The sequence below is a fragment of the Homo sapiens genome, chromosome 8 (assembly GCF_000001405.40).
Source record: "Homo sapiens chromosome 8, GRCh38.p14 Primary Assembly".
NCBI lineage: Eukaryota > Metazoa > Chordata > Mammalia > Primates > Hominidae > Homo > Homo sapiens.
Window position 1 is genome coordinate 29,036,048 of NC_000008.11, and position 14,617 is coordinate 29,050,664.

The 14,617-nt window shown below is 38.4% G+C and overlaps 1 protein-coding gene, 1 long non-coding RNA gene and 1 pseudogene across 35 annotated transcripts in view; 1 reads left to right on the top strand and 2 right to left on the bottom strand.

The window, feature by feature from the left end:
- Positions 1-7,053, bottom strand: part of LOC105379346 (uncharacterized) — a 28,066-nt gene extending 21,013 nt beyond the window's left edge. The window contains exons 1-2 of one of the 2 annotated variants that reach the window (XR_007060871.1): positions 282-7,053; positions 50-168 (exon numbers count right to left, since the gene is read on the bottom strand). This is a non-coding gene — a long non-coding RNA (uncharacterized LOC105379346). Of the gene's footprint in view, positions 1-49 lie in introns of both variants that reach the window. The other variant, XR_001745858.2, reaches the window with a different exon arrangement.
- HMBOX1 (homeobox containing 1) overlaps positions 1-14,617 on the top strand; it is a 163,155-nt gene that overhangs the window by 145,932 nt on the left and 2,606 nt on the right. For 6 of the 33 annotated variants that reach the window (XM_047422223.1, XM_047422224.1, NM_001135726.3 and 3 more), the window contains 3 exons: positions 9,314-9,396; positions 11,311-11,406; positions 12,907-13,001. In XM_047422223.1, the coding sequence (XP_047278179.1) occupies positions 9,314-9,396; positions 11,311-11,406; positions 12,907-13,001 (274 nt within the window). Of the gene's footprint in view, positions 1-6,591; positions 6,672-7,049; positions 9,398-10,144; positions 10,247-11,310; positions 11,407-12,906; positions 13,002-13,242; positions 13,348-14,154; positions 14,340-14,617 lie in introns of those variants that run through there. The other 27 variants (XM_017013823.3, XM_047422219.1, NM_001324383.2 and 24 more) reach the window with 13 other exon arrangements.
- RNA5SP260 (RNA, 5S ribosomal pseudogene 260) lies at positions 12,447-12,557 on the bottom strand (annotated as a pseudogene).

A 14,617-nucleotide genomic window follows, 5' to 3' on the forward strand; every position in this document is an offset into this window, starting at 1 on the left:
GTATTGTTTCAAAAGCTCAGTAATAGGATAAAGTGTACTAAAAACTCACCTTCTAAATCCAGTGTTATGCTTGACACCTGTTTATCAATTGGCAAGTGGGGTCTAGTGGCAATTAGCATGCTGCAAGTAAATGAAACATTTAAACATAGAGTCTTTGCAGTGAAGGGCCTGGGGAAAGAAAAACTTTATGTTAGGGCACATTTCATACATGGTGTCCATAATTCTTATTCTCATGTATGGATTTTTTTTCTTTTTTAAACAAGTAAAGAAAAGCATCCTACCATCCTGATAATGATTTGGAAGCTTTGTTTTCTGCTAGTGCCTGAAGAGGCACTAACTCTTCTAAGATAGGTTAACTGTGCAGTAGACAGACTTTTAATGGGTGTTGATGTTCTGTTTCAAGTGAGAAGTCCCAGGGTTTATTTAATTCTCCTCTACTCAGGAAAAAAGGAAGGTCAGTGTTATGGTTGTGTCTCCAGAGCAATTAGATTTCCTTTCCCAAAGAGGAAAAGGCAAGGCTAGATGAGATGTAACTGTGGTCCTTGGGCTATCATGAGTTTCTTTCTGATACCGTCACATCTTTGCTTCCAGGAACTCTTGTGAAATTAACAGGAACTTGGTCTAGGTGATTCATTGACACAGAGATTTTCATTACATATGTGAGATGAAGTCCGAAACAATACCATGTCTTAGCTGAGTAGTGGCTGTTCCTGAGCCAGTGAACTAATAAGTCAGGAAACCTGAGTTATAAGTCATGTGACCTTGAGCAAGTCAGTTCTTTCTGGCTCCTCATTTGCAAAGTTCATGTCCTCCCCTGCAAAATAAAGAAGCTTTCAGCTTAAAGGTCTTTGATTCTTTGTCAGATCTACTCTGTTACATCGAAATCCAGGTGTAATGAGCTGTGTTATGCGATTCCATAGGCATTTGTAAATTAGGCTTCAAGAATTCACTTTCTCATGTGAATCACTTCCTAGGCCAGTACTAATTTTTCCGTTTAGTACTCTTCTCTTTTCACGGGCTATTCTATTTTAAAACCTTAAGATGCTGCAAAGTCATGAAAACTTACAGAAACTCATGTATATTTTAGCTTGTGCTCACACCTTCTGAAAGGTTGATATGGACAGAGCCATTATTTATTTTATTAAGTCTGTGGAGTTAAAAATAAGCTCATCTGTAAAAAATACATTAGTAAAGAACATCTTTTGTTTGTTATACCTCAGTGTGTTTGCAAAACAAACTTTTAAAATGCAAATTGGTTTGTTGCTAAAAGTTAGCATTAAGATAGGCTAAAGTTTATTATTTAAGAATAATTTTAATCTAATTCCATTTTGCCGATACTTTAAGACAGCAAACTTTATTTTCAAATAATGCTTTTCCAAATTATAAAATTAGCACGTGCTTAATATATAAAATTGAGGGATACACAGGAAAATATAAAGAAAATTAAAATACCTCTTAATACTACCATCCAAAGATAGTAATTGTTAACATTTGGCATATTTCATTTTAGTCATTTTTCTGTGTATTATGTATACATCTACATATCTTTTTAAACAAAAGATGGTTATGCCAGATATGTAGTTTTATACTTTCTCACTTATATGATCTTTGAAAACATGATTTTCATTGACTAAATCCATTTTAAGAATATCCTCTTATTTAGTACCCAGTCCCTGGTGGTTGGATATGTAAATTGTTTTGTTTATTTCCAGAGATCATTTACCACATAGATACTCTCAAATAGGAGATGGGACTTAGGTTCTAAGTATGTTTAAAGCTGGTTTTTTTCCTTCTTCTGAAAGAGTAATCTTTCTTCTAAAAGCAGGCCTTTCCTGCCCACTGCCCAGTAAGTTTACTTGGTGATGAAGAAATACACACTGAATTGTAGTTAGTGGGAAATGTCTGGCAATCCTAAAACCTTATTTTGGATAACTGAAATGATGAGGTTTGAATATCTCTTTAGCAGAGATAGTTCACATGAAGGCACAGAAGAACATGTTCATTTACATGGCATTATCCCTTGCTTGGAGAGTCAGTCTCTGTCTTTTCTATATGTTCACGCAGACACAAAAGGAGGAATTATTTGGCTGCAATTTTTATAGACTTCAGTGTTATTGAAATGAAAGTGGTTCAAGGACATTTCCATTTGTTACTAGCTTATGGTTTCTCATCTCTTATAAATTATTTTGCCACTTTTCATTTTAATTCTTTGTTGTCATTGTCTGGCAAAAGATCATTTGGTTTCTCCCTGTGAAGACATTCACTGATCACTCAGCCGACAGTGTCCTTTGTAAAAGTGTAGTGCCCTCTGGATTTATTTTATCATTTTTTTATTGCTACCTGTGGACTTTTGTTTATGCTTCTTTTCTGTTTTGTCTTAGAAAATGTTTAGGGCTATATACATTTTATATGGACTAGAAGTATGTTTTGAGCTCCAGAGTTTCATTTCAGAAACAGGTCCCCTTTAGAGTCCAATAGCCAAGTTCTCCTACAGTTTATCCACTTGGTAACAGAAATTTCTAGTCCTTCAAAATAATCTAAAATGCTGGAAGGTTAATAACAGTGTGTACTGTTCCTAGGGCTGTCTTGAATGCATTTTATCACCATTCCAAAGCATCTCTTGAATCTCACCTTTCCTTTCTATGTCCAGGCCTCAGCCTATTTGAGGCCTTCTCCACAGCCATCATCACAGCTGCCTAACTGGCTTCTGCCTCTAATATCAGCAGAGATATTGCCCTACAAAAATAAGTTTGATCTTAGAATACCTCTGCTTTAAATTACAGCTCCCAGTTGCCTAGAAAGTTAACTCCATACCCTTTAAAATCTGGACCCAACCTTTCACAACCCCCTGTCATACACTGTGTATTCTAGCCACACTAAACTCCTTCCCATTTTTGGAACATTGTAAGCTCTTTCATGACTCTTTCACTGCCTTTGGACATGGTGTTGTTTCCTCTGCCTGACAGCATTTCCCTGTACCCGCCCTCTCTGCCCTGAAAACCCTTGCTCTTTCTTCAAGACCCTGCCCAAGTATACACTCCTCTCTGCTACTGCAGTACTGTATTCATAAAACTAATATAATTTCTTTTACAGTACTTCATAATATCTTCTTTACATACCTGTATCTCCTGGTGACTACTTGGGGAAGCTTTGTCTGGTTCACCTTTGCCACCATTTAGCCAATTGCCCGGTATAAACTAGGACTCAACATTATTAGGTGATTAAAATGAATGATTAATTCAGTATATTCAAAATCAAAGTTATTAGATCTATTTCCCGACTTCGTTGGCAGCTCATTTTGGTTATATATAGCTCAGAAATAAACACAAATATCAAAAATAAACACAAATAAAAATATCTTAGGCCAAACCACCAAATGTACTTAGAGAAGATAATTGTACAAAATGGTGAAATCCTCACTTTCTCCTGAGATAGTCTGGGTTTTACCAAAAGTCTTAACTGAAACCACTGTTTTCTGTTATCACCTTTGTTTCCTTTTCCCATTCATTTATTCCCTAATGTATTCATTTATTCAACCATCTGTTGATTAGATACTTACTGTCTATTATATGCCAAGCATATTTTTTTGGGCTTAAATACCTCCTTTTGTGAGTAGATAGAAACCATAGCCATCTTCCTCTTGATGCTTCCTTTTTTCTGAGCAACTACTATGTCCTCCTTGTCAGAGCACATGTGAAAAAGACTCAGAGGATTTTAGTTTACATTAAATTCAGATATGTACATAATGTAGTGTGGTCCTAGGGTGGCCACATAATTTATTGTCCAAAGCAGGACACTCTGGGGGATTAAGATGGGATTTGTTAATAATCCAAGATAACAGCACTATCTCAGGCAAACCAGGGTGTATGACCACCCTTATGTAAGCCCTATAGTGTAATCAGATCACATCACTAGTTGCCTTCTGTTTTTCAAGTATGTCTTAAGTTTTTATGCCTTCATATTTTCGTCTTTACTGTTAATGTTGCCTTTGCCTCTCCAATGCCTGCAGCCTGTGCACCCCTCAGAAGCCTGCCTAATTCAATGAGCTTTCCCAGATCAGCCCAGTCCACAGAGATATCACTCTTTTCTGAATTTAACATGTTGTTTTATACTTAATTAGAAGATAGATGCATTTTGTCAGTTATGTTTTGGCTCCTTTTATTATTTAGCTTTTTTATATCTTCTTCTCGAACCATAATCAAGGCCCATATTTTGAAATTACTCATACCCCTCAAGTACAATGCCTTATGCATAGTCATGTAATACATAGTTGTTTGCTATTTTATTTCCTGGTCTACCTTTATCTTCAAAAAACTCTTCTACTTATATCAATATTGTGTGTCTTTTCTCACAAAAAAGTTTTAAGAGTTTTGCAGTAAAAAAATCTTATTACTTTTTAAACTTAAATATTTACCATGAGGTACTATAAATGTCATTTTATCAGTTTAGATTATACTGTATATCTTGAATTAATATTTTTTAAACATTGAAACATTACAGAAATAGAGAAAGAAGAAAGTTGTGCTAACAGTCCTTTGTATACACCTCCAGCTAGAGTAGCATGTTTCAATGACAATTCATATTTTTTAATAGGCCTACATTTTTTAATTACAAAAATAACAGGTCTTTAATAGAGAAGAAAGGATTAATTAGTTACCAGGCTTAGAGATTTAAAACCATATTGAATCAATTCTTATTTTCTTTAGCCTTTGATTTGGAGAAAGTTACTGATTTCCTTTTTTACTCTGGTCTTCTTTATTTTATATGGTTAGATCCTAAAAATACAGATTAATTTTAATCTTTAATTAAATTTAATTAATTTTAAACCTTTTTAACTCAGTACAAAAATTATGTATACCATGAATAATCGCGAATTCTAGTTTAGCTTCCAGAGATAGCATGGCTTTATCTATTTGTTACAAGAACAGAAATCACAATCCTAATATTTTCTAGCTGGTCCAAATACACTTTCCAAACATAAATAGTTACAGAATTGTATTGATCATTAAACGAGTTCTTAAATATTGTACTGTCTCCCCCAAGTTCTCTTCTTAAAAAGTAATTTATAAAAATAGCATGTGTTTATTTCAGAAATTCAACAGAGAAGCATATAAGGCAGAATGTCATTTTTTTTAAAATTTTTTCTTATTTCTCCAAGAAAAAGTGAAAATCATTCTTAATTGCCACCAGTATTTTCCTGTTTTTGCCCCCATCCCCAACACTCTTGCTTCTTGGAGATAGTCATTGCTAACCCCTTAGTACGTATCCTTCAAGATCCGTTTTGCAATACCTCTTTGCCTTCTCTTGTTAGCAGTTCATTTACTGTGAGATCCATTTCTTTTGGAGGCCCCCACACTGGGTTGGTGGTGCCTTTGTCTATCATTATTGGCTCGTCAACACTATCATTAGTGGGGAGCGCGTGTGAGGATGATTCAGACTTGTACCCTGGCATCAGGTGGTTTTCAGTGTAGTAGAAGACAGATGTATACAGTGATAACTATAATACAAGATGAAAGATATGTAAGAGAGGAACAGATGAAGTGCGGTGGGATTCATAGGGCAAAAAAAATACCTTTGATTGGCCAAGAGGTGATATTTGAGCTGTACCCTGAAAGATGGATAAGATTTGCACTGCGGGGTGGGGGAGGCAAAAAGCTGATATACTTGCAAGAGAAAGGCACAGAGATGCAAGGAGTTTACAGAGTTATTCCATTTTCCTGGGTGGTAGCATGCATATATGGGAGTAGCAGATAAAGATGTAGAGGTTGTTTGCGGGGGGACTTTGAACACCTCTATAATAAACCTTTGAGAATTTCTGAACAGGATAGTGACTAGAGATGTGCTTTAGGAATATTAATCAGGCATTGGAGGGGGTACAGTGTCATCACAGGCTTTGCAGTCACTTGGAAGAAAAGTTGTCACAATGAGGTGCACTGGCCAAAGAGCTATGGCTTAAAAGGAACCCGTAGGTCTTAGCAACTACTGTATCCCATCAAATCTAAGAAGGCCTTGATTGTAAGACACACCTTAGTTGACGTACCAGTAAGGGAGACAAAACACCACCAATTATAAAATGCATCCTGACTTCGGAGATCACAATAATGAAGAAATATGTATTATAAAAACAGTGAACTAAGATCACTGTATGGGCACAGGGAAAAGATGAGATATGCAGGAAAGAAAGGAGAGTTGAGAAAATGAAAGGAAGGGGAATGAGGTCAAAGACAAAAGCGGAGAAGTTGACCTTGAAGAGGAGGAGAATGCATGCATCTTCCTCTGCCATAAGATGAATGAGTAATGCTCAGAACAGTGTACAAGTTGAGAAGCCAAGCAATTAACTCATATTAAATAATCTCCATCTTCATAAGAGAGAAAGCAAGGTCATCTGCAAAAAGTGACAGTGGTCAGTTTGAGGGCTTGGGGTAAGAGAGTGTAAAGTTTTCAGGTAAGTGGGGCAGGAGATGGGATATGAAAGGCAATTGGTTAGAAAAGACCAATAGAATTCCCAACAGAAATGAGGGTTCCAGTTAAGGTTGAAAAATGTGGATTTATTAAAAAAACCAATTGGCCCTATTTTATGACTTTGTCCAGGAACACTTGGTCCCCTGAGAGAAGGATGGAAGAAAATAAATGGAAGTTGCTTTCTGCAGGGTAGGAGATTGGCTGGACAGGTATGGTGGAAGGACAGAAAAGCTAAACAATCTAGTTTCTCCTAAGGGAAGTTGCTGATTTCGCATGCCATGGAGTTCAGGCTAAGAAATGAGAGGTGAAGCCCAAAGAGGAAAGATAAACAGAGATTGTTTTTGTTTTTGTAACTGATGGGTGGGGGGATTAAGCAGTTAGAGATAATAAAGAAAGTGAAGAACAAACTATTTTGAAGAGGAGGCATAGGTAAATACAAAGTTGACTGGGGAATTTCAGAATTTAAGATCATGGAGGTAGAATTCCAAGGGTTAAGCCTTGAAGATAAAGTGTTGTCTTTCTAGAAAACAGATGGGAGTATATCTCTGTGTATCTTGGAAACCTCTAAGGCACCCCGTTTATTTCAGTATGAAGTCTTCTTAAGGAACAGACAAGGGTCTTCACAAGCTGGCCCCATCCCACCTTTCCAGGCCAGTATCTCATCATTGCTTTGTACAAGCCCCATGTTCTAGCCACATTTAACTCTTCTCTATGCCCAGAGTCCTCAAAAGCTTTTATCTACCATTTTGCCTTTGCACATGCTGTTCCCTTTTATATAAAACGCTCTTCCTCCTCTTCTCTGCCTTGCAACCTCCTGTGCATTCTCTAGACCTAACTCAGATGGCACTCCTCAGTGACGCCTTTCCAGGCTCCTGCCAACAACACTGAACACGCCTTCATCCATGCTGCCTCAGTGCTCTGTCCATACATCCTATGGCATTTCACCACAGGATATTGACTTACATGTCTCTCTGTAGTAGACTGTGAACACTTCAGAGTCAGAAACTATATCATCTTTCTTTACCCACAGTGACAAGCACATATTAGGTACTTAGTATCTGCTTTTCGTTTTTGTATATTTTGTGTAAATGAACTCATCCAGTACATCTCAGAAGTTACGACCTGTGCATTTAGGTCACCTGGAAATCTTGTTAAAATTCAGATTCTGATTTAGTAAGTCTGAGGTGGGGTCTGAGATTCTGCCATTCTAACTGGCTCCTAGGTGACAGCCATGCTGTTAGTTCTCAGAGTTAATCCAAAGCATCTCAGCCTAAGTAAATAGGCATAGGGCAGAGACAAAAGCCATTAGAAATGTGAAAGTGAAGCAATTATGAGGGTAGTGACTTGGAAAAATCCTCCGTATGAACACTGGAGTCCCAGAAATGATAGGAGAAAATCATGCAGGAAGAGATGCTCAAATAAAGCAGAAGACCATGGTGGAGGGTGGTAGTTGACAAGACTGGGAGGATATAGCTCTATGACTTAAGTTTTACAGAAGAAAAAGGTGGTTAGGTGGGGGCAGCTGCTGTGAGTCAGGACTGCATCAGATGAGGTTAAATAAATAAATAACTGGCAGTGAAGCCATGCCCTCCAAGGAGGAGTGGGCAGTGAGAGGAGGGAGTAGTGTTAGGAGCTGGGTTTGCAGGTGATCCTCAGGAAGGGCTGGGGCCTCCAGTGCTATTCACAATAGGATGGCATTTCCACCAATGCAGACAGGAGTGCTGAAGGCATAAGAAAGGCTGGATTACAGGGAAAGGGAAACCCCTGAATAAATGGTAGGTGCTAGAATTTGACAGGGGCCCATTTCCTGATTGGAAGTTTCCAAGTTGAAACCATGAAAGTTCTCCTTTTCTTTTTTTAAACTCATGGGTGACTGAAAAAGTAGCACTAATAAGCATTCTGTTCCCACATGCAGTCTGATGGGTCTGAGAATTCTAAGGATGGGTTCAGTAAATTTATTTTTTAAAGTACTATCGTACTTTAAAAAGTGCAAAAGTAATACATACTTTTTTAACAAATGAAAAAGAAAATGTTTAAACTCCTCCCACTAAGCCCCCTCCCCACAAATCAGTAACTGGTATTTAAGCTTACTGTGTAGTCTTCCAGCTTTCATCTATGCAAACTTACGTACACATAGGAATTTTTAAATTCTGTAATGGTATTTTCATATTATTATTGGTATAATACCAATATTGAAAATAATGGTGTTTTCAATATTATTCTGCGGATAGTTTTCCTCACTTAGAAATATGTCATAAACATCCCTCTGGGTCAGTGGACAGAACTCTAACTTATTTTTTCCTACTAGTTTTAAATAGCTACATATAAGTATAGATATCCCATAATTTGTTCTGCCATTCTACTGATGGATACTTGGGTAATTTCCAATTTTTTCTACTACAAACAATTAGACAATAAAAAAAAGTCCTATTGTTACCAGTGCCTAAATAATATAACTCTGTGACTTGAATCAGTCACACATATCAAAAATAACTTCCATATCAATGACATCTTTTAATGAAGCACAGCAGTATGTAGACCTGTTTTGTCCCATATAATAGCCACTAGTCACATGGAGGTATTCAAATTTAAATTAGTTAAAATTAAATAAAATTCAAATTCCATCCCTGACATTAGCCTCCTTTCAAGTGCTCAGTAGCCATTTGTGAGTTGTGGCTACCATACTGGACAGCATAAAAGATTCTACTCTCACAGAACATTCCATTTGACAGCCTGGACCTAGACACTTGAGTGTGGCATCTTACAGAATATATTTTTCAGTGAGTTAGTGTTTTAATGAGAGTATGTTTGAAAAATAAAAACTTTGTGTCTGTATCGGTTGCCTCTGCAGTTACTTCAATGAGAATCAATACCCAGATGAAGCAAAGAGGGAAGAAATTGCAAACGCTTGCAATGCAGTTATACAGAAGCCAGGTAAGGTCGCAGGCACAGCCTTGCTCTGCGGTGCAGCACAGCGCTTGGTTACAGGTTGGCATCTAGGACACTTAATCTTATGCGTGCCTTGGCATGGTGCTCCCGGCTCAGTCTGTGCCATCCTTCCGCAGGTGGCCAGTGCCCTGTCCTGCTCACACAGTACTTCTGAGGGATGTTTTTATGGTACTCAAAATCAAATGCTCACATAGGAGAGTTTTCAAGGAGTGACCCTACATGAGATATGAGACCTTGAAATTACTATTTTTTTAATGTGTAGATTTCCTTTTCTAAGAATTTAGCTAAAAGATATTATGAAATAATGTTAAAGTTTTAAATATTTAAGCAAGCTTTGTCAATATAAGATTAAGATAGAATTTTTTAAAACAATTGTTATAAATTGTAAAATGCTATATTTCTCTTTGGGGAAAGAATTCTTTTTGTAGTTAGTTTCTATCTCCTTTCCACATTGAGATGACTTCTACTTAGCTAAGAAAAATTTAGGGCAGTACCATTTTGAAGTCCTGTTGTTCCAAAGTCAACAAACCCACTTAAATATTTCAAATGTATTTTCTTCCTTGTGCTAAAATATTATTTCACATTTTACAGATTTTGTTAAACATAAACCATTTTCAGTTAACAGATCCAGTTGATTTCCATGTGGCCAGTTATTTTGATTGGCCTAAAGGCTACATACAAAAGTATCAATGTTTTATAGAAATTAAGCAGACCTTCATTCTCCCTCACCCAGAAGCCAGACTTCTAGCAATGTAGACCCTACAAACTGCTCCAGTGACACACAAGTGAAAGGAATCTGTACCCTGTTTCAAACATGCCAAAAGTCCCAGCCCTAAAGCTGTGCAGAAACTTGAACTCTCCCTGGAACATTTTGCCCCCGTATCATCAAGGCCCTAACAAACCTGCTTTCTGGTTTCTTCACCCACTGTGGATTAATAGCCGAAAAACAAAAGGAAAGGTGAGGAGGAAATGTTACAGGGGGGTCTGTATTGGCAAGCATGGTTACTATCCATAAAAAATCACATTGGACTTCAAAGATGGTAAATCTAAAATGCAACTTGAATTGTGCTATGTAGTCCAAACCAGTTACAGTAATGGATAGTCATAGCGGCCTTCAGCCTTCAAGAAAACATGTATAATATCCTCTGTCCTAAGACAGCAGGTAATTAGTTAACATAAGGCCTTAAAGATGTAAGTAAATTTCTGTTGTCTGGATACTTGATAAAGAATAACTTATCTTGGGTTGTTGTGGTGGCTCACGCTTGTAATCCCAATATTTTGGGAGGCCAAGGTGGGCAGATCGCCTGAGCCCAGGAGTTGGAGGCTACCCTGGGCAACAATGGCGAGACCCCATCTCTACAAAAACCACAAAAGTTAGCCTGGTATGGTGGCCTGGGCCTGTAGTCCCAGCTACCTGGGGGGCTGAGGTGGGAGGAGCACTTGAGCCCAGGAGGTCAAGGCTGCAGTGAGCTATAATTGCACCACCGCATTCCAGCCTGGGTAAGAGAATGAGACCCTTTCTCAAAAAAATAAAAAAAGAATATCTTATTCTGATACAATAATGGTAATTAAATGAAGCCCCCATAGTACTGTCACATGGACGTGGATCTGACACCCTAGCCAACTGACTTTGTGGAATTCTCTAATATTATGTATGGCTTTCCGAATTGAAGCATGTTGTGTTACTAGTTGTTGTTTTTGTATTCATTTACATATTTATTCATTCAGTAATTGGGGTGTGTACATGGTACCAGGTAATACTTTAAAAATCCCTCTGCATCTGTAGTTTTGGCAATAAACGTAATCAAAAGCAACAAAATAAAAATATTAGCCCTTAAAACTAGTTTATTCTTGGATCCCAGATATAGATTATCTGAATTTTATTGCATGTATTCACAGGCAAAAAGCTGTCAGATCTGGAAAGAGTTACCTCCCTGAAAGTATATAATTGGTTTGCTAACAGAAGGAAGGAGATCAAGAGGAGAGCCAATATTGGTAATGTATCAGTGAGGCTGCTTTTCTCTTGTGCAGCAGTTGTGAACGTCATGTTTATATTAAGATTAACTTCAGTTTAGAAACTGCAAGTCTAAAGGATCCTAACTTCTCTTTTTTTTTTTTTTTTTTTTGAGACGGAGTTTCACTCTTGTTGCCCAGGCTGGAGTGCAGTGGCGCGATGTTGGCTGACTGCAACCTCTGCCTCCTGGGTTCAAGTGGTTCTCCTGCCTCAGCCTCCCGAGTAGCTGGGATTATAGGCATGTGCCACCACACCTGGCTAATTTTGTATTTTTAGTAGAGATGGGGTGTCTCTATGTTGGTCAGGCTGGTCTCGAACTCCCGACCTCAGGTGATCCGTCCGCCTCGGCCTCCCAAAATGCTGGGATTACAGGTGTGAGCCACCGTGCCGGATCCTAACTTCTAAGCCTAACAAAAGTTGCCCTAATGTCTTTCATTGTGTTTTTAATAAACCACAGTTAGTATTATTTACACTATTTGTAGTGTAATGGTAATGACATTATTATTTATAAAACTCATTCTTCTTAAAGTTCTAGAATATAGAATTAGACATGGCCCCTGAGCAATTGATTACTCCTGTGGTACATTTGAAAGATACTTGTAAGATCTTGAGAAAGGGAATGTAATACCCAGAATTTCTTCATTATTACTGGACTATGACTTAAATATTAGGAAACAATTGATTAATGGTTTGGAATGAAAGAGACTTAATAGACAAGGAACGCAGCAAAAGGCAGAGATAAAGAGCATTTAAGAAATATGGATTCTTGATGTAATCATTTATGTATATATACACATATCAAAACATCACCTTGTACACCATAAATATATACAATTTTTATTAATTATATTTCAATAAAGCTGAACAGAGAAAACAAAAATGCCAAAAGTGCCCTAGAGGGAACTACGAATACAACTGAAAAAGGAAGAAATAAAGGATTTGTTCCCATTCAAAACTGTAACAGTAATAAATAAGAATAAGAAATTTAAGTTGGTGAGTCAGGTGGGATGTTGGTTTTTAGCTTCTAAAATTGCATTTCATTTCTTCCATCCAAGTACTAACCAGGCCTGACCCTGCTTAGCTTCCAAGATCAGACGAGATCGGGCGCATTGAGCGTGGTATGGGCATAGAATGCATTTCATTTCCTTCCTTTGTAAATACACTTTTTATTCATCAGTACAGTTCTCATATGCTCTATAGAACCCCAAGATAGGAAGACTGTTTAGTTAGTTAGCAAGTATTTATGAAGCACCTAACATGCACAGCAGCAGAGACCCCAGAATGGCAAATGTGTGCCTCCCCTGACCTACATGCAGTTGAATTTCATCCATCTTACAGTCTAAAAGAAACAAATGTAGAGAAATACAGGTTCTTGTTTAATTACATTCTAATTAATTTCCTTAGCACAAAAATTCATTCAGTGTTTCAGCCATTGTGATAAGGTAACAGATAATTTAGGGATCTATTTGCTTTTTTCGAAGAAGCAGCAATCCTGGAGAGTCATGGGATAGATGTGCAGAGTCCAGGAGGCCACTCAAACAGTGATGATGTCGACGGGAATGACTACTCTGAGCAGGTGAGCCCCTGCGCAGCTGGGCGAGGTTCTTGGTGCCTGAGCAGGGGGTATAGTGGGACAGCTTAGTTCCTTGGGTGTGGCTGATGGGGTGGGGGAGGGGAAACAGTCACTGTCCCTCCACTCTGCTCCTGTGTCTAGTTAGATTTCATGTAATTTGAAAGGAATGTGGTAAGATTCAGTTGTCCTGTTGAATTTGTGAGAGATCGTTATTCACCCACATGGATTTATTGTCATACAACAGGATACTTGGCAAGTACGCAATGGGGAGGAGGAGGAGGGAAGAAGTTCAGAGGGAGGCAGAGAAGCAGAGAAGGTAGAAGAAGAGAGGAGGATCTGATCCAAACAAGCAAGTTACACCATTCACGACACACACTCAGTGTTTGAGAAATACTAGGGGCAGCTGGACCCCATGCCTAAACACGTACCGACGCAGGGCACGATGGAAGGCCCCACTCACTCTGGCCCCACTGCAGTGGGAACCCTCCTGCCCAAAGGAGTGGTTCTTCCAGAGTCTCTGGCACACTGACACATGCATCCTCTCATAAGTGCAATACCTGCATGACTCTTCACCTCGCCCTGATTTATTCTGCATTGCTTTTGGGGAAAATGTATTTAATTGTAGCCACTGCGTGGAGTAATTCAGTAACTAAGACTGTGGGAGTCCCTCCTCGACCCCCACATAGATGTTGACAGATTTCATTAAAATTTTGATAGGATTTAAATTTCCATTTGGAATATGCAGAGAACGCATGGTACCTTCCCCTAGACCACAGCAAGAAAACTTCTGCTCATTTTTCTGGGGTCTGTGCTTTTTTCTTGCTCCTCAGCCAGCTCATATAGTCCAATGTGTTCTTTAATAGCCTCTGTTTACCACACACCTAGAATGCATGCAAGTGTGTGCTGATCCCTTTGTAAATTCTAAAAACTAATCTGTGAACATCAGAAGGAAACAATGATGTCCACACTTCTGAAGAACTACCATTTTTTCCCATTTAGGACTCTAGTTAATAGCCCCAAGAGAATATTCTGTAAGTCTTTCTGTTCGGAAACATTCCTCTTTTCAGTCTACCCACATAGATGGATCATTTCCATCTTTTTTTACAGATGCCCTAAGGGCAGCACATTCCATGTTTTGTTTGTTTTTTTCCTTAAGGGACTTACCCTTTCCAAAGCTCTTTGATACGGAGTTCCCCTGAAGATGACAGGTGAGAAACATACCCCTTATTTGTAACACCATCTTCAGTGCCTGACGTACATCCTGCAATGCCAGCTTCCTTCACAGCTTTATTGTTTAACACATTGAGCTGCGCGGGGAGGACAGCTTCACACTAGTTCTAGGTAAGACGCCTGCCGCTCCCCTTGCACAGCTGCCTGCAGCAGGAGAGCTCGACACCTTCCTCCCCTTTCTCCCGTAGCCGTTTCTGGCAGTGACATGTGTCCTGTTGTAATGGAGAATTCTTTTTTTCTTTTTTTACAAAAATGCATTTTTTATCTGTAAGATGTAATTGTAAGTTCTGTCTAGTTTTCTCAGTTCAGAGAGGGACCATGAATTCTAATAATCTATTTGTAAGAGCAGCAATCTGGAATTTAATAGCTCACTAGTATGGCCTTCAGTG